This window comes from Homo sapiens, chromosome 8 (assembly GCF_000001405.40).
Source record: "Homo sapiens chromosome 8, GRCh38.p14 Primary Assembly".
NCBI lineage: Eukaryota > Metazoa > Chordata > Mammalia > Primates > Hominidae > Homo > Homo sapiens.
This window is the reverse complement of record NC_000008.11, coordinates 13,506,570-13,524,455: the sequence shown is the minus strand read 5'-3', so window position 1 is coordinate 13,524,455 and position 17,886 is coordinate 13,506,570. Positions and strand designations below refer to the sequence as shown.

The 17,886-nt window shown below is 36.8% G+C and overlaps 1 protein-coding gene across 6 annotated transcripts in view; it reads left to right on the top strand.

The window, feature by feature from the left end:
• Window positions 1-17,886, top strand: part of DLC1 (DLC1 Rho GTPase activating protein) — a 521,260-nt gene that overhangs the window by 80,165 nt on the left and 423,209 nt on the right. For 2 of the 6 annotated variants that reach the window (NM_001413124.1, NM_001413125.1), the window contains exon 1: window positions 8,805-8,997. The exons of 2 other annotated variants lie outside the window; for them this stretch is intronic. The gene's annotated coding sequence lies outside the window, so the exon portion shown is untranslated. Of the gene's footprint in view, window positions 1-8,804; window positions 8,998-9,604; window positions 9,855-17,886 lie in introns of those variants that run through there. 2 more of the 6 variants (NM_182643.3, NM_024767.5) reach the window with 1 other exon arrangement.

Sequence of the window (17,886 nt, the reverse complement as noted above, 5' to 3'; positions counted from 1 at the left end):
AACAAAAACAATTTGTTTTAATAGAATAGATAGCTCACGCCTGTAATACCAGCACTTTGGGAGGCTGAGGCAGGTAGATCACTTGAGGTCAGGAGCTGGAGATCAGCCTGGCCAAGATGGCAAAACCCCATCTCTACTAAAAATACAAAAATTAGCTTGGTATGGTGGTGGGTACCTGTAATCCCAGCTACTCAGGAGGCTGAGGCAGGAGAATTACTTGAACCCTGAAGGCGGAGTTTGCATTGAGCCCAGATAGCGCCACTGCACTCCAGCCTGGGCAACAGAGTGAGATTCTGACTCAATAATAATAATAATAATAATAATAATAATAATAATAATAATAATAAATAGAATAGATAACAACTGTGATGGTGGCTAGCTGAGATTAGCTGAGTGACTGAATCATGATATCTAATATCCACTGACATTTTCACATGCGTCACACTCCCAACTGAAATCAGTCCCTTTGCATTAGATCCCATCCCCTCTCTCCTACTTAATAATGCACTTCAACATTTCTATACTCTCCTCACTCTTCAACATTTCTATACTTTCTCCCCTCCCCCTTGGGAACATACCATATTAATTTAAAAAAAAAAGAACAGAACAAAATTTTGCAAATATACTGTTATTCTTCCATCCTAATAAAAGCATCTCACGGTCCCAGATAGTTACCATGCCATGTATTTTCTCTCCTTTATTTGTGTCTCCAATCTTGGCTTTCAATTTTCTTCTAAACCATGCTAATTTTTTCCATATCATTCTTTGAACTTGTTCCTTTCAATATCAAGAGTGACCTCTGCTTTCTTAAATCTAATAGCCAATTAGGTATTTGTCTTCTTATTTTATTTACACACCCTCTCGTCAATCTCATCTAATTTTGTACTTTAAATTGCAAATACGTTTGAGATTCCCAAATGTATTTGTCTAGCCCAGATCTCTTTTCCAAACTTGAATTCATATGTCCAACTGCCTCTTTAACACTTCTAGAAATTTCTAATAGACATCTCAAACACAGCATGCCCAAAACTAAAATTCTGAACTCTGTCTCACAAGACTTGCTTTATCTCTAGGATTTCCTTTTTTAATTGATGATGACTCCATCTTTCAGTTGCTCATAAAGCATTTTTGACTCTTCTTTTCTTCTTATATAGCAAATTTAATTCTTAAAAAAAATTGGTAGCATGAACCACAACAACAGCTTCAAATCTGATATTTCTCATTACCTTCACATGAGCCACTATCCATCATCTCTCACCTGGATTACCACAGTGACCTGGTCTCCCTACTTTGGCTCTAAATTCTTTTCAACTAATTTTATTAAAATGTAAAGTAGATCTTGCCACATCTCTGATCAAAATCTTTCCAGGGCTCTACCTTTCACTGAATGAAATTGAAACTGCTTACTTACAAGACACTACCTAACCTTCTTTCCTTAACAACTTGAGATATTCTCCCTCTCTCTCTCCTTCCATTTTAGCCACATTAATTCCTTGCTATTTCTGGAAACTGCCAGGCACACGCTTCCTTAGGACTGTGCACTATCTGTTCATTCTACCTGGAACTCTGTGACCCAAGATATCTATATGGTCATCTCTCTCACCTTTTTTTAAGTCATTACTGATAAGCCACCTTTGCAGTGAGACTTACTCTGGTGTTTCTTATTTAATTATATAACATGATTGCCCCTCAATCCTCATTCCACACCCTCCTTAGCATGCTCTGCATTTTCTGTTTTCACTAGCAATTGTCCATATACTACATAATACTACATAATTTACTTATTTTATTTATTTTTATATTTATTTATTTGTTTATTTATTTATTTTTGAGACTGAATTTTGCTCTTGTCGCCCAGGCTGGAGTACAATGGCACAATCTTGGCTCACTTCAACCTCTGTCTCCTGGGTTCAAGCGATTCTCCTGCCTCAGCCACCCGAGTAAATGGGATTACAGGCACCCACCACCATGCCCAGCTAATTTTTGCATTTTTAATAGACACAGGGTCTCACCATGTTGGCCAGGCTGGTCTTGAACTCCTGACCTCAGGTGAACTTCCCGCCTCAGCCTCCCAAAGTGCTGGGATTACAGGCCTGAACCACCGCTCCCAGACTTATGTTTATTCTTGATTACCAATTCCGTACCCCCCATTTAAGCTACATGAGGCCAAAGTCGTTCCATTGTTTGTAAGGTTGTATTTAACGAGGCATCCCAGATTTCTTCTCCATTGTAAAAGCTCTTTTCTGGTTAAATCTCTGCCCTTTGAGATTCATTCTCAGCAGCTCCTGATGCCATACCCCACTGCGCAGTACCAGGAAACATTCTCATCCCACCTTTTGGAGCGGGTGGAAGTCGTAGGTATAAAGTTCTGACAAAGGCTCGTAACCTTGAAAAAATATCTCTTCCAATTTCTGTTAAAGTACAAATGTACCCTTCTCCGTCTTTCCTTTCAAATGGAACCATTTGAGGGCCTCACCTGGGAAGAAAAAGGTGCAGCTGTGATATGACACATGTTGAATGTGGGTACTGCATTGACAATACACAGACTGGTGTTATGAACATAGTAATACACAGTTAATATCACTTGAATGTGTGGATGGATATGAAGCATTTTCACTTGGTATGTGTACTGAGGTTCTCAAATGGTTCCACTTGAAAGGGAAAGACAGAACAGGCATATTTGTACTTTAACAGAAATTGGAACAAATATTGTTTCAAGGACACGAGGCTTTGTCACATTTCATACCTGCTTCACTCCCCCAAATGGTGGGCTGAGAATGTTGCACAGTGCTGCATTGTGAAGTATGGGATGAGGAACTAGTTAGAATGAATCTCAGAAGGCAGAGATTTAACCAGAGCAGAGCTTTTACTGAGGAGTAGGAATCTGGACATATTTTGAGGGGACTGAAGACAGGCAGTTGCACCTTCTATCCCAGGGGAGCAGAGGGTGTAGGAGAGAATGCGTGGCCCCATTTGAAAGACTTATAAGAGAAGCTGAAGACTGTGGGCTCTAAGCCAACCATGGCAAGGGAACTTTTTTTTTTTTTAATTTTAAGTTCTGGGATACATGTGCAGAATGTGTAGGTTTGTTACATAGGTAAATGTGTGCCACGGTGGTTTGTCACACCTATCTACCCATAACCTAGGTATTAAGCCCCACGTGCATTAGCTATTTACCCTGATGCTCTCCCTCCCCAAGCCCCTCCAACAGGCCCCAGTGGGTGATGTTCCCCTCCCTGTGTCCATGTTCTTTCATTGTTCAGCTCCCTTTTATGAGTAAGAACATGCAGTGTTTGGTTTCCTGTTTCTGTGTTAGTTTGCTGAGGATTATGGCTTCCAGCTCCATCCATGTCCCTGCAATGGACATGATCTTGTTCCTTTTTATGGCTGCAAAGTATTCCATGGTGTATATGGACCACGTTTTCTTTAACCAGTCTATCACTCATGGGCTGGGCAATCAGGCAAGAGATGGGAACATTTCTTGAACATACTAAAGATATATGGACCCTTTTTTTGGCCATGAATTGAGGATTTCAGAGAATATTATGGTGTAATGTAACAAGGGTGGTGACTGGAGGGTGGTACATGGTGATGTCAGCTTAAGTATTCACATAAAAAGGAAGCTTTGACAGAGGAAGAGCCTCAGCCTCTATGGGCAGGGCACACACAGACCTCTCTAAACAAAATCTTGCATGGCTGGGAATCTTTGAGTTTCTGATGGTACCCTAGCCCTACAGGACAGGCAGGCAGACTCATTCGCTTCTAAGACATACGTGCCCTCTTGTCTGTGTCAATATTTTTTTTATTTGCTAAGTTTCTTTTTTTCTTTTTTTAATTATACTTTAAGTTCTGGGTTACATTTGCAGAACATGCAGTTTTGTTACATAGGTATACACGTGCCATGGTGGTTTGCTGCACCCATCAACCCATCACCTACGTTAGGTATTTCTCCTAATGTTATCCCTCCCCTAGCCCCCAACCCCCTACAGGCTCCAGTGTGTGATGTTCCCCTCCCTGTGTCCGTGAGTTCCCACTGTTCAACTCCCACTTATGGGTGAGAACATGCGGTATTTGGTTTTCTGATCTTGTGATACTTTGCTGAGAATGATGGTTTCCAGCTTCATCCATGTCCCTGCAAAGGGCATGAACTCTTCCTCTTTTATGGCTGCATAGTATTCCATGGTGTATATGTGCCACATTTTCTTAATCCAGTCTATCACTGATGGACATTTGGGTTGGTTCCAAGTCTTTTCTATTGTGAATATTGCCACAATAAACATATGTGTGCATGTGTCTTTATCGTAGAATGATTTATAATCCTTTGGGTATATGCCCAGTAATGGGATTGCAGGGTCAAATGGTACTTCTAGTTGTAGATCCTTGAGGAATCGCCACACTGTCTTACATAATGATTGAACTAATTCACACTCCCACCAACGGTGTAAAAGTGTTCCTATTTCTCCACATCCTCTCCAGCATCTGTTGTTTCCTGACGTTTTAATGTTTGCCATTCTAACTGGCATGAAATGGTATCTCACTGTGGTTTTGATTTGCATTTCTCTAATTACCAGAGATGATGAGCATTTTCTTCATATGTCTGTTGCTACATAAACGTCTTCTTTTGAGAAGTGTCTGTTCATATCTTTTGCCCATTATTTGATGGGGTTGTTTTTTTCTTGTAAATTTATCAAGATAACTTTGTTTTCATATCTATTCTTGGACTGTAATAATTTTCAGTGAAGTGGGATAATGAACATCAGTAGTCCAAAAAGCAGGAATCAATGGTTTTGGAGAGCTTATATGATTTTGCTACTTTTGATAATTTAAGACCAAACTTAAGTGTGTTCCTTTAATGTGTGCTTTCAGGTAAATACTATATGGTTACCAAGTTGGGTGTCAAAATTGTGACAAAATTGATCAAAAAACTAATCATGCGCATGATGCTTATTGAATATAAACTACAAATTATATGGTTTTTCTTGGTCTGGATGTGTCTACAAAAGTGAACTTATTTAAAGAAAACACATGAGCCAGGAGCGGCAGCTCACACCTGTAATCCCAGCACTTTGGGAGGCCAAGGCGGGTGGATCACAGGGCCAGGAGCTCGAGACCATCCTGGCTAACACGGTGAAACCCCGTCTCTACTAAAAATACAAAAAAAATAGCTGGGCATGGTGGCGGGTGCCAGTAGTCCCAGCTACTTGGGAGGCTGAGGCAGGAGAATGGCGTGAACCTAGGAGGCGGAGCTTGCAGTGAGCCGAGATTGCGCCACTGCACTCCATCCTGGGCGACAGAGTGAGACTACATCTGGGGAGGGGGGAGGGATAGCATTAGGAGATATACCTAATGTAAATAACGAGTTGATGGGGGCAGCACACCAACATGGCACATGTATACATATGTAACAAACCTGCATGTTGTGCACATGTACCCTAGAACTTATAGTATAATAAAAAAAGTAAATAATAAAAAAATTCTTGATAATATATTTTTAAAAAAAGAAAACACATGTAAAGCTTACTGAAAAAATAAATTAGAAAATCTGATAAATTCTACTTTTATTGTTTCCAATACAGTAACTTCAATAAATTACAAGCAAATTTTTAGAGATTTTTAGACGAATAATTTTCATGGACAAAGTGTTCTTAACATTTATTACACTAACTGTATGCATGTAGATATTTCAAAATACTTTCAAGGTATTTATTCTCTTTATATATTAATTTCAAGTTCATTGCTATTATAAACATATTCATTAACAAAAATGGAAAACATAAAAGCTGACTTCCACGCATAATATCACAAATGTCTAATGTGACTGAATTAATGATGTTGCTACTTATTTCATAAAAGAGTAAAACACTATTTTCAAAGGATAGATCTTGCTTTACATAAAATGTTCTTGAACTGCATGAGAGACACTGAATAATTCTGTACAGAAGTCCAGATTCAACTTTCCTGAAAATGATTGGGAAATGACTAGATAAATGATCATAGCTAATGTTTATTGTTTAGGTAAAAGTACCTAAGTAGAAAAGAGATCTTTAGGCCAGGCACAGTGGCTCACGCCTCTAAACCCAGCACTTTGGGAGGCCGAGGCAGGCAGATCACTTGAGGTCAGGAGTTTAAGACCACCCTGGCCAACACGATGAAACCCTGTCTCTACTAAAAATACAGAAATTAGCCAAGTGTGGTGGAGTGCATCTGTAATCCCAGCTAGTCAGGAGATGGAGGCAGGAGATTTGCTTGAACCTAGGAGGCGGAGGTTGCCTTGAGCCGAGATCACCACCACTGCACTCCAGCCTGGGCAACAGAGCCAGACTCTGTCTCAAAAACAAAAACAAAAACAAAAAAAAGAAAGGTGATCTTTAAAATACCATTTAATCCACCTCCTGCTATTCTTCTTTCCACAGAGTACATAATTGTTCCACCACTATAACGGTTTCACATGTATACATTTAACTTGGAGTTCAATAGAAGAGAGAGAAAGATTCTAAAAATACCTGAAAGAGAGATGTAAACATTAAAAAAGGCAATAATTTAAGTGGTAAAAATAATTCTAGCTAATGGCTTTATATGGACTAGCTTTTTGCATTGTGACAATTCTTAGTTATGGAAGCTAAGACATCCTCACCCCGGTTAGGTAACTCACACAGGTCACAAAAGCTGTTAGTTTTGGAGCAGACTCCTATCCTGATACTTTGTTTTCAAGTTCTTAACTGTCCCTGTCCCCTTATTTGATTAGCTGATCCAGTACAGAGTAACAGTCAAACATTTAAGGAAGTTGGTATTTAGATTTGCAAGTAGAAAGAAGGGGACAAATATTTTGAACTCCTTCAGTGTTCCTGACACAATACTAAGTACTTAGGAAGTTTTCTCACTATTTATCTTTACACTCATATTTGGTAAAGCCTTTATAAGACTATAAGATCTGAGATTTGTTTGGAATCAAGCAACTCAACAATGAAAAATAAATATAAGTAATTAAAGATTTGGGAAGTAATCCTATTAATAGAAGAAAACATAATGTATTTTTTGTGTAGAAAAGGGTATGTTTATGAGAAACTTACTAACAAGAGTTTCTAGATATCTAAAAGGCATTTGTGAACAGAGTTTTCTTGTTTTCCCAAGCCAATAGAAATAGAAACAAAACTAAAGTATATGGCGCGGGGTACAGTATTCATGAATAAAATGTAGCTAAGAATTAGCATGATGCTGATATAATATTGAGTAACCACTGTATATCAGTACTAAAGGCAGTGACAGAGATAGAGATATCAAGTTATATTAGGAAAGACATAATATCAGTTCTCATTCCTTTCTTCTCCAGTGTTTTTCTTAGGGAAATAAACATAAATACACAAATATTTCTGCATATAAATTTCATCCTGCTTTCCAATCTATAAGTTATGTGAAATTGTCTCTATTTTTAAAGAGAAACTATTAGAGTTTAAGAAGTCTTCCCAATTTAATAAAGAAATTAAGTGGAAGTCAAGGAAGGCAGTTTATGGAGAAAAAATTAAAGCACAAAGCTTGGAGCTAGAATATCTGAGTTCCAGTGTGGACCTGGGCACTTTGTATCATTTGACTGTGAGAAAATTGCTTCTCAATACTTTATTTGTAAAATAAAACATATGAATACACGCAAAATTGTTGGAAAGATTAAATAGGCATACTGTCAGTAGAAACACTTTGAATATAAATATAAATACTTTTTAAAGAATTTATGGAAGAACAGACTTCTTTCTTGGCCTATGGTTGAAGATTAAATTAAAGAAACCTAAATGCTCATGTTTTTAGTCAATAAGACTTTGATCTAAACTTTTAAAGCTGCTTCTGACCAAACGTTTTTATTTGACTACTTCTCATCTTCAAACTCATGCACAGTATAAGTCATTCTTGCCATCTAACATGGGTCTAATATGGTTCATGATTTGCATTAACTTTGAGAGATTTTAGCTACCTAATAAGGAAAAAAATAGTAGTTAGAACCTTGTGCATCTTTGAGTTATCACCTACCCAATATTATCAAAAAGTACTACAAGATAGCCCTTGTGATATACAGGGATGGAGAATAACAGTGAACAATGAAAACTACTTACAATTTCAGAGAAGAACAGGATAGATCTTAGGGCCAACAAGTTTAAGATGTCTTTTACCTCTTTATATGTTACTCATTTTATCACATCCAACTGGAATTATTCTTGCACTTCCTATTATTGAAAGCTTCTAGAAATTTGCAAGAAGCAGATAGACCTAATAATTAATCTGATCATCAGTCCCCCCCCAAAAAAATGCTTGAGTCATAAATAGCAGCGAAATCCATTGATTGTAAATAAAGTAGAAGGGAGACATGACTGAGCCATTTCCACCAAGCAAGATAATTAAAGTCAGAGATGCTGTTTCCTGCTTCCCTGGTATAAACAATGAAGCTGCTCTACTGGCCTCTCCACAGCCTGGATGTCCCAAAACCACCTCCCTCTTCTTTCCTTCCACATTCTCTAAAGAGGATTCTGGGTCATAAAGGAAGGAAAATTGGTGTAACTTTTTTCCTGAAACGACTTCAGCTTCCTCTGTGTTTGTATTTGTGATATCTTATTATAAGACGAGCTAACATCTATTATTAATTGATGCACTAATTAAAGCCATACTTGCAGTTTCCATTAGCTTATTCCCTAAATTCTCCAGAGTTGCCTGTCTGGTTTTAATCAAAACCAAATGGTAGTCCAAATTCCCAACCTGGAGCAGCTAGGAGGAAGTCATTCAAGGGAGGCACAAGAAAGCAGAAAAGATAAACAGATGATAGTTCACAAAATTTGTGACGGACGAAGGATGCAGATACCATGAGCGGCTTTAGAGATGTGATTCAGGAACGCTGCCATGCTAGATGGAAGCAGTTGTAAGTGTTTAATGTCAGCAAGACTCTAATACGATCAAGATGGAGCCTGTCTTCTGCTCCAGCACTGGATTTTTGTAACTGGAGGATTCTGACTAGAGGTAATGCGCTGCTGCATTTGCCATAACACGAACTATTTTAATTCTGTGAAGGATTCTTGTGATCAGAGAGATCTGGAAGAAATCGTTCTATTAACTGGATGCTTGGGATTTTACTTACAGATGGTCTCAGGGACAGAATGAAAAGCTGCAGCATTTCCAATTTTAAGTCATGTTCAAAAAAGGTTTTGCCATTTAGAAGAATTATGGTATTAAGGCTAAATTCATCTTGCTCTCTTAAAAGATCTTTTGAAATGAGAGCAAGCACAGGCATTTTGATTAAGCTGTGCATATACATTTAATATAGTGGAAAGGTTGTGGATAGAGAGAAAACTACGTTTTCTTTCTTTCTTTCTTTCTTTTTTCATAAGCAGTGTGGGATAGAAAAAGCTCTAGGACTTTATGACTCTACAGCTAATCACCTCAAGAGCTTTGACAAAACTCACTTGAGTTCTGTGTAAAATCAGAACTCCTAAAACGCCCAGGCGGCTGGGCTCTCCCCTCCTCCCCTCTCTTCGTACAGCCTTTCTAGCATGCACACTCCTCAGAGGCAGGAAATACTTTCCAGGCAATCTGGGCCTGGTTGTGGAGGCCCCTTTTGCAAAACCTCAGTCTGAATTTAGTAGACAGAAGTCACTAGGAATGCCTTGACAGGATCCTGCCTTAGCTAAGGCTCCCTCCAGCTGCAGAGGGTGTTTTTGTTAGACTCACACACTGCGTGAAACTGCTCAGAATAGAGCCATGATCTCAACCACGAAATGGGAACTTAGATTTTGGAGAAACTAACGGGGACGGACTTCTTTCCTAGCCTGAGTGTTGAGCAGTGTCATGCCTTGGCGTTTCAGCTCCTCGTTGTCTAGGTAAGACGCTATGGACTATCTTTATGCTTTGAGGCGGTCTTTGAAGAGGCAGAAAGATTGAGATAAATGTTAGCATCTTGCACGGAGTTGGTGACTTCCTAGGTTTTAGAGCAAAGCCATAAAATCAGAAGTGGAAAATGTTTGATAAGTAGAAAATTCTGAGTCAATTCGTTTTAGCAAACTGTCAGTTCTAAAACAGGCTCCATATAGATTTAACTCTTTTCCTCCATAAAGTAAGATTTTATTTTTATCCCTTTTTACGTTTAACTTATTTATTAATTGAGCTGTCGGATCAGTTTTCCTATTTCTTGGCATAACGTGAAACAAATACATTTTCTCACACATCAGTGTGAGGTGTAAATGAATTCCTCCCCTACCTTCCTTTGCCAACAGGGAGAGTAGAAAGCACCCGAGTGACTTGTGCTTAATAATCAGTCTCCAAAGAGTATTTTGTGTCTCATTTAAAACTACGAAGATTGAATTTCTTATTATTTTACCCAAGCCAGTTTCAATCATATGTCAAGCTTCTCCTGTACAGCTTAAAAGGTTCATTTAAAAAAAAAAAGTAAACACGTGAAATTTCAGGAATTATTTCTGTCCTAAATAGTATTTAATCTGAGTTTTGGAAATTTAAATGTCGGAATCGAATTTAGTTTATATTAATTTTCCTGGATTCACTGCTTGCTCCGGTCACATTTTGTGTAATATTTTGAATAACTGAAGTCAATCTCAATGACACTGACACTCATTATAACTCTTTTAAGGCAGCCAGAAATCACTCCAGTCATATGGAAACTGTTTGTGTCCTTACTTATGTAATCGTAAAATTACATTTCCACCTGACTGTAGTCTCTTCAAGGTAATCTTAAATGTTTAAATGTACAATATATTAGAAAAGAAGTTTAGTAATGACCGAAAAAGTGTGGACTTATAATGCATAAGATACTGTTATATTTCTGAATATTTATAATAAAATTCATCATTTTATAGAAATAAAATGGTACATAAAGGGAAGAAATATTCATGTACATTTTCAAATCTATTAGATGAATACAAAATATACTAAGTGAAAGATGGAGAGCTATTTTGACAGTTGGATCATAAGAAATGAAGTAACTGTTTTCATTATAAGTTTTTATATAGTACAAGGTGACCATCTGCTATATTAGCTATTCTCAAATTTTATGCTAGAATAACTTATATTGATAAATTTTAACTATTCACTGACAATTTGTGTTAAAACTTCTTAAATATGAGAAAAAGAATCTACTTTTTATATATGTGGAAGATAAAATACTGACTTATCTAAATTATGATTTAATTAAAATCTCCAAATGGAATTTCAGAGAAGGAAAGAACATAAGAGATGGTCTCCTCTAACAATGGCTTGAGGTTGTCTACAAGAAGCTGAGAAATGGGATTTAAAAGTGACCTGTCCAAGGTCACACCTCTAGCTAATAGAAGAGAGGACAGCAGAACCACAGTGCCCTGATTCATAATTCAGATACCTTTTTATCCCATCATCCTGCCCTCCCATAATAATTATGCATAATGAAGTATGAACATGTCCAGTAGAAGGGTGCTTTGCAGACAGAAATTTGCAGTTCCTCTAATTTAAAAAAAAAAAAAAAAAAAGGTAAAACTGTCACCAATGTTAATTATGTGGGGAAAAAAATCCTAACTTTAAAAAAAAATCAAATCAGTATGCCTTCAATAAACACTTTACAGTAGTAACTTGCTTTATGACTATTTTATTATATTTGATGTTTATGTCAAGAAAATCAATCCATATGCTAATAATTATATTAATTTTAATCTGATGTTTCTTTAAAAATAGGGCTAGAAAACAGCTTTTCTAATTTATATCCTTGTACTCAAATGATCATAATGAAACTGTCCCAACCAATGACTTTCAGAGGCAATTTTACAGCACCACCCCCAGGCATCCTTTCTTCTATCTAGCCTAAATCATTGTTGCTGTAGCTTATTTCAAGTTCTATGTGGGTCTTTTCACTAAATATATAAAAAGCCTAAGTTGACATATAAAAAATATGTTTACATTTCTCCAGCATGTTTGCAATCCCTTAATTGATTTGTATGTCTGCTCTAAGCCTTCTACAAAGTCATTTAATTGTAGAATGCAGAATTTTTACAGTATATAAATAAATGTCTGAACAACGTGGTATAAAATGGGAGCGTGGGCTATTTCATCTGCATCATACTTCATATATGACAATATTTGTTGCTGTGTGTGCTGAAGCAGTATACCTTCTCAGACAAGACCCTTTCTCATAAATGTAACACATTCCATTTCTAATAGCTGCCATTTCCTTAGAGAGAATGTGTCACGATACTTTTTTTTTCCATTTTCATGACCAGATTGAGTTTCCTGATGTTATTACTACTTAAAAGAGACACTATTCAACACTTCCTTTCAATGTCACCACACTCTACATTATTGGAATGAGAAATAAGTGCAGTAAAGTGGTGGCCCTTATAGCTGACTGCCTGATTCCTAGAAGGCCTAGTAAAAGATAGCACATCACTTCATTTTCTTCATAAGGACATTATAATTTAAAAAAAAGAATTTTTTCTCTCTCTGTCTATACCTACCCATACCATATAACTCACTACAAATACTTATGGGATGGTTTAATCTTATTCATAGAGTTTTAGATCTTACAGGCTTAAAATAGGTCAAAAATTGATCATTTGAAATTTGTCTTTTGTTTGTTTTTTGTTTCCTCTTGAAAAATGAGTGATGTCAGTGTTATAAAATGAGAATCACTCTTTAAAAACTATTACAGTATGGCAAAGTTCCAAATGACCAAGATCTAGATCAGGGATTTTATTATCAAAATAGAGACATGTCAAGAATTGCACATGAGAATTGGAAGAGGACAAGGGAACACTGAAAACTTTCAAATTTGAGGGAAGTAGTGTGAATATTGGGCCTGCTTTCCCCACACGAAAGATAAGCCCCTTGCATAAACAACATAGACCAAACAGAGTTACAGAGAAGAATGACTCTTGATTGACTTTGGTGTGATAGAGAAATACAGTGTTTACTTCTATGGTTCTGTTTTGGCTTTCAACTGATAGTTTACAGAGTTTTGATAAATAAATGGGCTAATTTTTAAGAAAGTTAAACAGAATAATAATGAATAAACTAGGACCTTGAGGCCCAGTTAAAAAAGATTGTTAATTTTGATTCAGTGGATTAGAGTATATAAATGAACTTTAAAAGATTAAACAGTGACTCAAATGCCAAAAAAAAAGGTGAAAGATAATGTAAACAGCATGCATATGAACTTGCTCATTAATTGAGATAAATGGGTGGAAAAGACAATTGCATGTGTGAAAAGGTTGTTTCTGTATTAGCTTGAAATAACAAAGTGTTTTAGCAATGCAATTCAAATAATTCAAAGAGAAAATCAGCCCTGTTAATGGAAATGAGATAGAAAAGAAGTAGGAAGATCAAACAGCAGGTTTAGATACTCAATTAGTGTTTCTTTTATTCCCAGCAATTAGCAAAATACCTAGCTTGCCAGGAATTATCAACACTTATTTGTCAATAAATGTTTGTGAAATGAATGGAAGGAAAAGCGAAGGAAAAAAAAAAGAAAGGAAAACCAGGGTTGAGGAATGGTAATGTGTGGGAGTTGGACTTCTTTCTTATTTTCCAGACATCCTGTAATAATAGAATAATAATTTCTAAAGGGGAAGGAAAATAAGAGGTTGGAAAGAGTCATCAGAGCCTGGGGCCAGAGGTTAACAACACTCTCATTAGATGACATTTCAAGTTCATTAAGCACCAGAAGGAAGCATAGGCATCCAGAAATGGTTTGAAATTAAAAGTTACATGAGGCCAGTGAGAACAGAGCACTAGTGAATTTTCCACATTTTAAATGGGGTGGTGTACCGAAAAAAATAATGGACAAAGTTAGAAAACTGGCTCTGATTTCCTCTTAACCACTTGACGCTCTGTGATTTGATGTTTGCCCCGTAACTACTTTGAGTTTCTGCTTTTTATTAGTAAAGTATGGGATTTCCAGGTCATGTTAGGCATTAGATGAGATTTCATGTGTGCAAATTGTTTTGCATACAGTATAATCAACAAGTCCTTGTTTAAAAAGGCATAAGTCAATTAATCAAGAAAGAATATGGGAGGCCAAGGCAGTCAGATCACCTGAGGTCAAGAATTCGAGACCAGCCTGACCAACATGGTGAAACCCCATCTCTCCTGAAAATACAAAAAACTTTAGCCAGGCATGGTAGCAGGCACCTGTAATCCCAGCTGCTCAGGAGGCTGAGGCAGGAGATCACTTGAATCTGGGAGGTGAAGGTTGCAGTGAGCCGAAATTGTGCCATCACACTCCAGACTGGGCGACAAGAGCAAAACTTCATCTCAGGAAAAAAAAAAAAAAAAAGAATAAAGAATAATTGTGTTTCACTCACATTTTGTTCTAATCACTCATCTATATTGAAATATCATGGACATAGAAGAGATAGTTTCAGCTCATACTCAGCCCTGGATTCTGCAGCTAAGATCAGTTGAAAGCTAAAGGAGTCATCATCACCATCACCATCACCATCATCATGATCAAGTCACTTTACATCTAGTGAGTGCTTGAAATGTGCCATGGACTAAGTGTTTTACATATATTATAATCTCATTGTTATTAACTCATTATCATTTTCCCCTCAACAGTTTTTTCATTATTCCCATTACAGAACTGAGAAAACTGAGGTACATAGAATTTAGGTAACTAACCCTAATCACCAGGGGGAAAAAAGTTATTTCACAGACATCCTCACAAAAATGGGAGACAATTCCTGCCCACCAGTATGTATTTGACACTGAGCTAGTTAATCAGTCCTGCCAAAATTCTTCCCTATCAAATTAATTAGAGCAATAATGGTATTTGTTTCATACAACATTTGTATTACTGCTAAAGGAGATAGCTTCTAAGTAACACACCGAATACAGTACTTGGCCCATAATAAGTGCTTAATTAATTGAAGGATGTTTTTACTATAATTATCATTATAAGTTTCTAATGCACTTAATATTTCTTAGGTATTAAGAAAAACACTTGGTGATAAAAATAAGCTCAAACATTTATAGGTAGATGACATAATTAAGATGAGATGATAGAGATGTATGGAAGACAAAAGTTGATAGCAGAGACATTGACCCCAGGTAGGACACCAAGCTAACAGAAGTAATTAAGTTCCTAATGACATCTTGTTCCTGATTTCAGTGAAAATTGTGCTTATGGAATGACTAAAAATGTAATTCCCTACTGTCAACTTGCTATCTGAGCACCTGGGTTGATGTAGCTATATCTGTTATTTACGCGGAGTGATTACTGTGTCTACTGTTGGAGTGTTCTTAGAAATGATAGCAAAGCTAAAAATAAAGTGACCACTTAAAGCAAAACCGCATCTCACCATGATGATGATAAAACATTATAATCCGTGTTCCTTGTTGAATAAAAATATCTTTTTATAATACAGCAAACCACATTTCAATCATACTGCTTTGCCATCAATAATAAAAAGGTCAGCCACACGTTTAATATCAACTTTAACCCTAGGCTATTTCCTGTTACATGAAAAATTTCAAGTGAAACAAGATCAGAGGAAAGGCAATACTTCTCTTTATTGTAAGAGGTTCTACAGAAAAGAGATATTATGGCAAAGAAGATAATTATTCATTAATGAATTTATTTGCAGAATTAATCTAAGGTACAATGTATTTGTAAATGCCCAAATTATTCTGCATAGGATCAAACAGTACTATTAAGAAGATTGCATACTTAAAAAAAAATAAAACATGGAGATCCAAATAAAACATAGATACTTAGAAATTACTACATCTGGCCGGGCGTGGTGGCTCACGCCTGTAATCCCAGCACTTTGGGAGGCCGAGGTGGGCAGATCACGAGGTCAGGAGATCAAGACCATCCTGGCTAACACAGTGAAACCCTGTCTCTACTAAAAATACAAAAAAATTAGCCGGGCTTGGTGATGGGCACCTGTAGTCCCAGTTACTGAGGAGGCTGAAGCAGGGGAATGGCATGAACTCGGGAGGCAGAGCTTGCAGTGAGCCCAGATCGCGCCACTGCACTCCAGCCTGGGCGACAGAGCGAGACTCCGTCTCAAAAAAAAAAAAGAAAAAGAAGTTACTACATCCATAAAGCAATATTGTCCCACATGGCTCTGTTAATTCTGGGATCTCCTAGAAACCAATATCCCCAGAAAGATCTCAGTGATATCAGGAGAATATCATAAAATATTCCCAGTTTCCTCAAATTACATGCGGGTTGCTTAAGAAAATGTTAAGAGAATCTCCAAATCTGGCTGGCTTGAGCCATAAAGTGGGTGGTAAGTCAAACACTGCCAGTATCTGCTCTCCTCTCTGCAAGAAAATTAGACACTACTGGAAGCGACATTAAATAGCAGCAACCTGGACGTAAAAATAGAGCACCGCTGAAATAATAGCTTGCAGTTTTGCAACACCCTGCTCTTTTCTCATGAGCTGACTTCTAGTGGATTGAAAGAGTTAACTTTCAAATTTGCCTGAATCACTGAGGGCTAAGAATAAAAAAAATGTTTTAAGTTGAGTAAAAACTCAGATATACCTAAAAATGGGTTAACAATAAAATAATATTTTTCAGCTGGGTACCTATTTCTTCATTTTTCTTCTAAAGACTAAACCTGATGGAACGTTGGATGTGTATTTTGGAAAAAGTGAAACACTACTTATTCCCCTTACTTGGCTCATTATAGATGACTTATTCTTTAATTTGGTAAAGTTTTTGATGCTTTCCAGACAGCCTAAAGACATGGAAGCTACTTCATATATAATATTTTAATCTCCATTAAGCAATTTGCCAATAAAACTTTTAACAGGGATTCATGTTTTCCACTAACATGTAATGAGGTATAACAAGTACATTCCAGCATTAAACAAAGTATGTAAAAGTAGAGGAATAATGATTTTGTGTGGGATTAAGACACATATTGCTACTAAAGAAAGGGAATCTGCATGAAATCATATGGAGGTAAATTCTTGCATCATGTTATTAAATGTTTATCCACCCACAGTCTAATTCTAGTCTTGTCTAATTTAGATTAGATAACATGAATATTTTAAAGGAAAAACACTAATTGTTTTTTACTGAAAGTTGGCTGTCTGGACTAGACTCATAGAAATGCTTTTTAGAAATGTGCTCTTACGGTTTTTGCTATTTGTTTGTGTATTTACATAAAGGAATTAAGAAACATAATATCTTCCCTGGGCTTTCTGGCTTCTAAGCATATGTCAAGTCAGTTTGGTCGTAAAGAGCATTCCTCTTCATTTATCACTGAGCTGTGTGCCAGTGGGAAGGCGCCCAAATGTACACAATTTAGTTTGCTAGGTAATTTGTTCTTTGACATTATCATTAAGAAAATGGGTTTCATTTTGGCTTCCACAAATGCTCTTTGTAATGAAGATTTACTTTGACATGAGTTGAAGAACTATATTAAGTTGTGCTCCTGTGATCATGTCTGTTTCCAGGTTGTTGATCGTCTTTTCTAGTTGCCTAATTCAATTCAGTAAGTGTTTTGGGGGCACATACGATGTACAAGTGTGAGTCCCCAAGAGTAGGCTAAGATACAGTAAGATTTCATATCATTACCAGATATTCAGGTTTCCAACATATGCATCTTACTAAGGTGACCCTCACCACGTAGCAACAAAATGTGCCAAATGTAGAGGTGTCTTCTTCTTCGTTCATATGCTGAGAGAGCATTTTAGAAACTGTTAAGTTGCGTTTAATTAACATGAGATTATTTCCCTTACATCTTCTCTTCCTTCCCACAGTGACTAAGCACATGCTATGCGATAGCTGTTTTATGTAAGTGTGTGTGTATATTTATATACATACATATGCACACATATATATTTGGGTGCATGTGTCTCTCTGTGTGTATATATATGTGTATATATATATATATATATATATATATACACACACACACA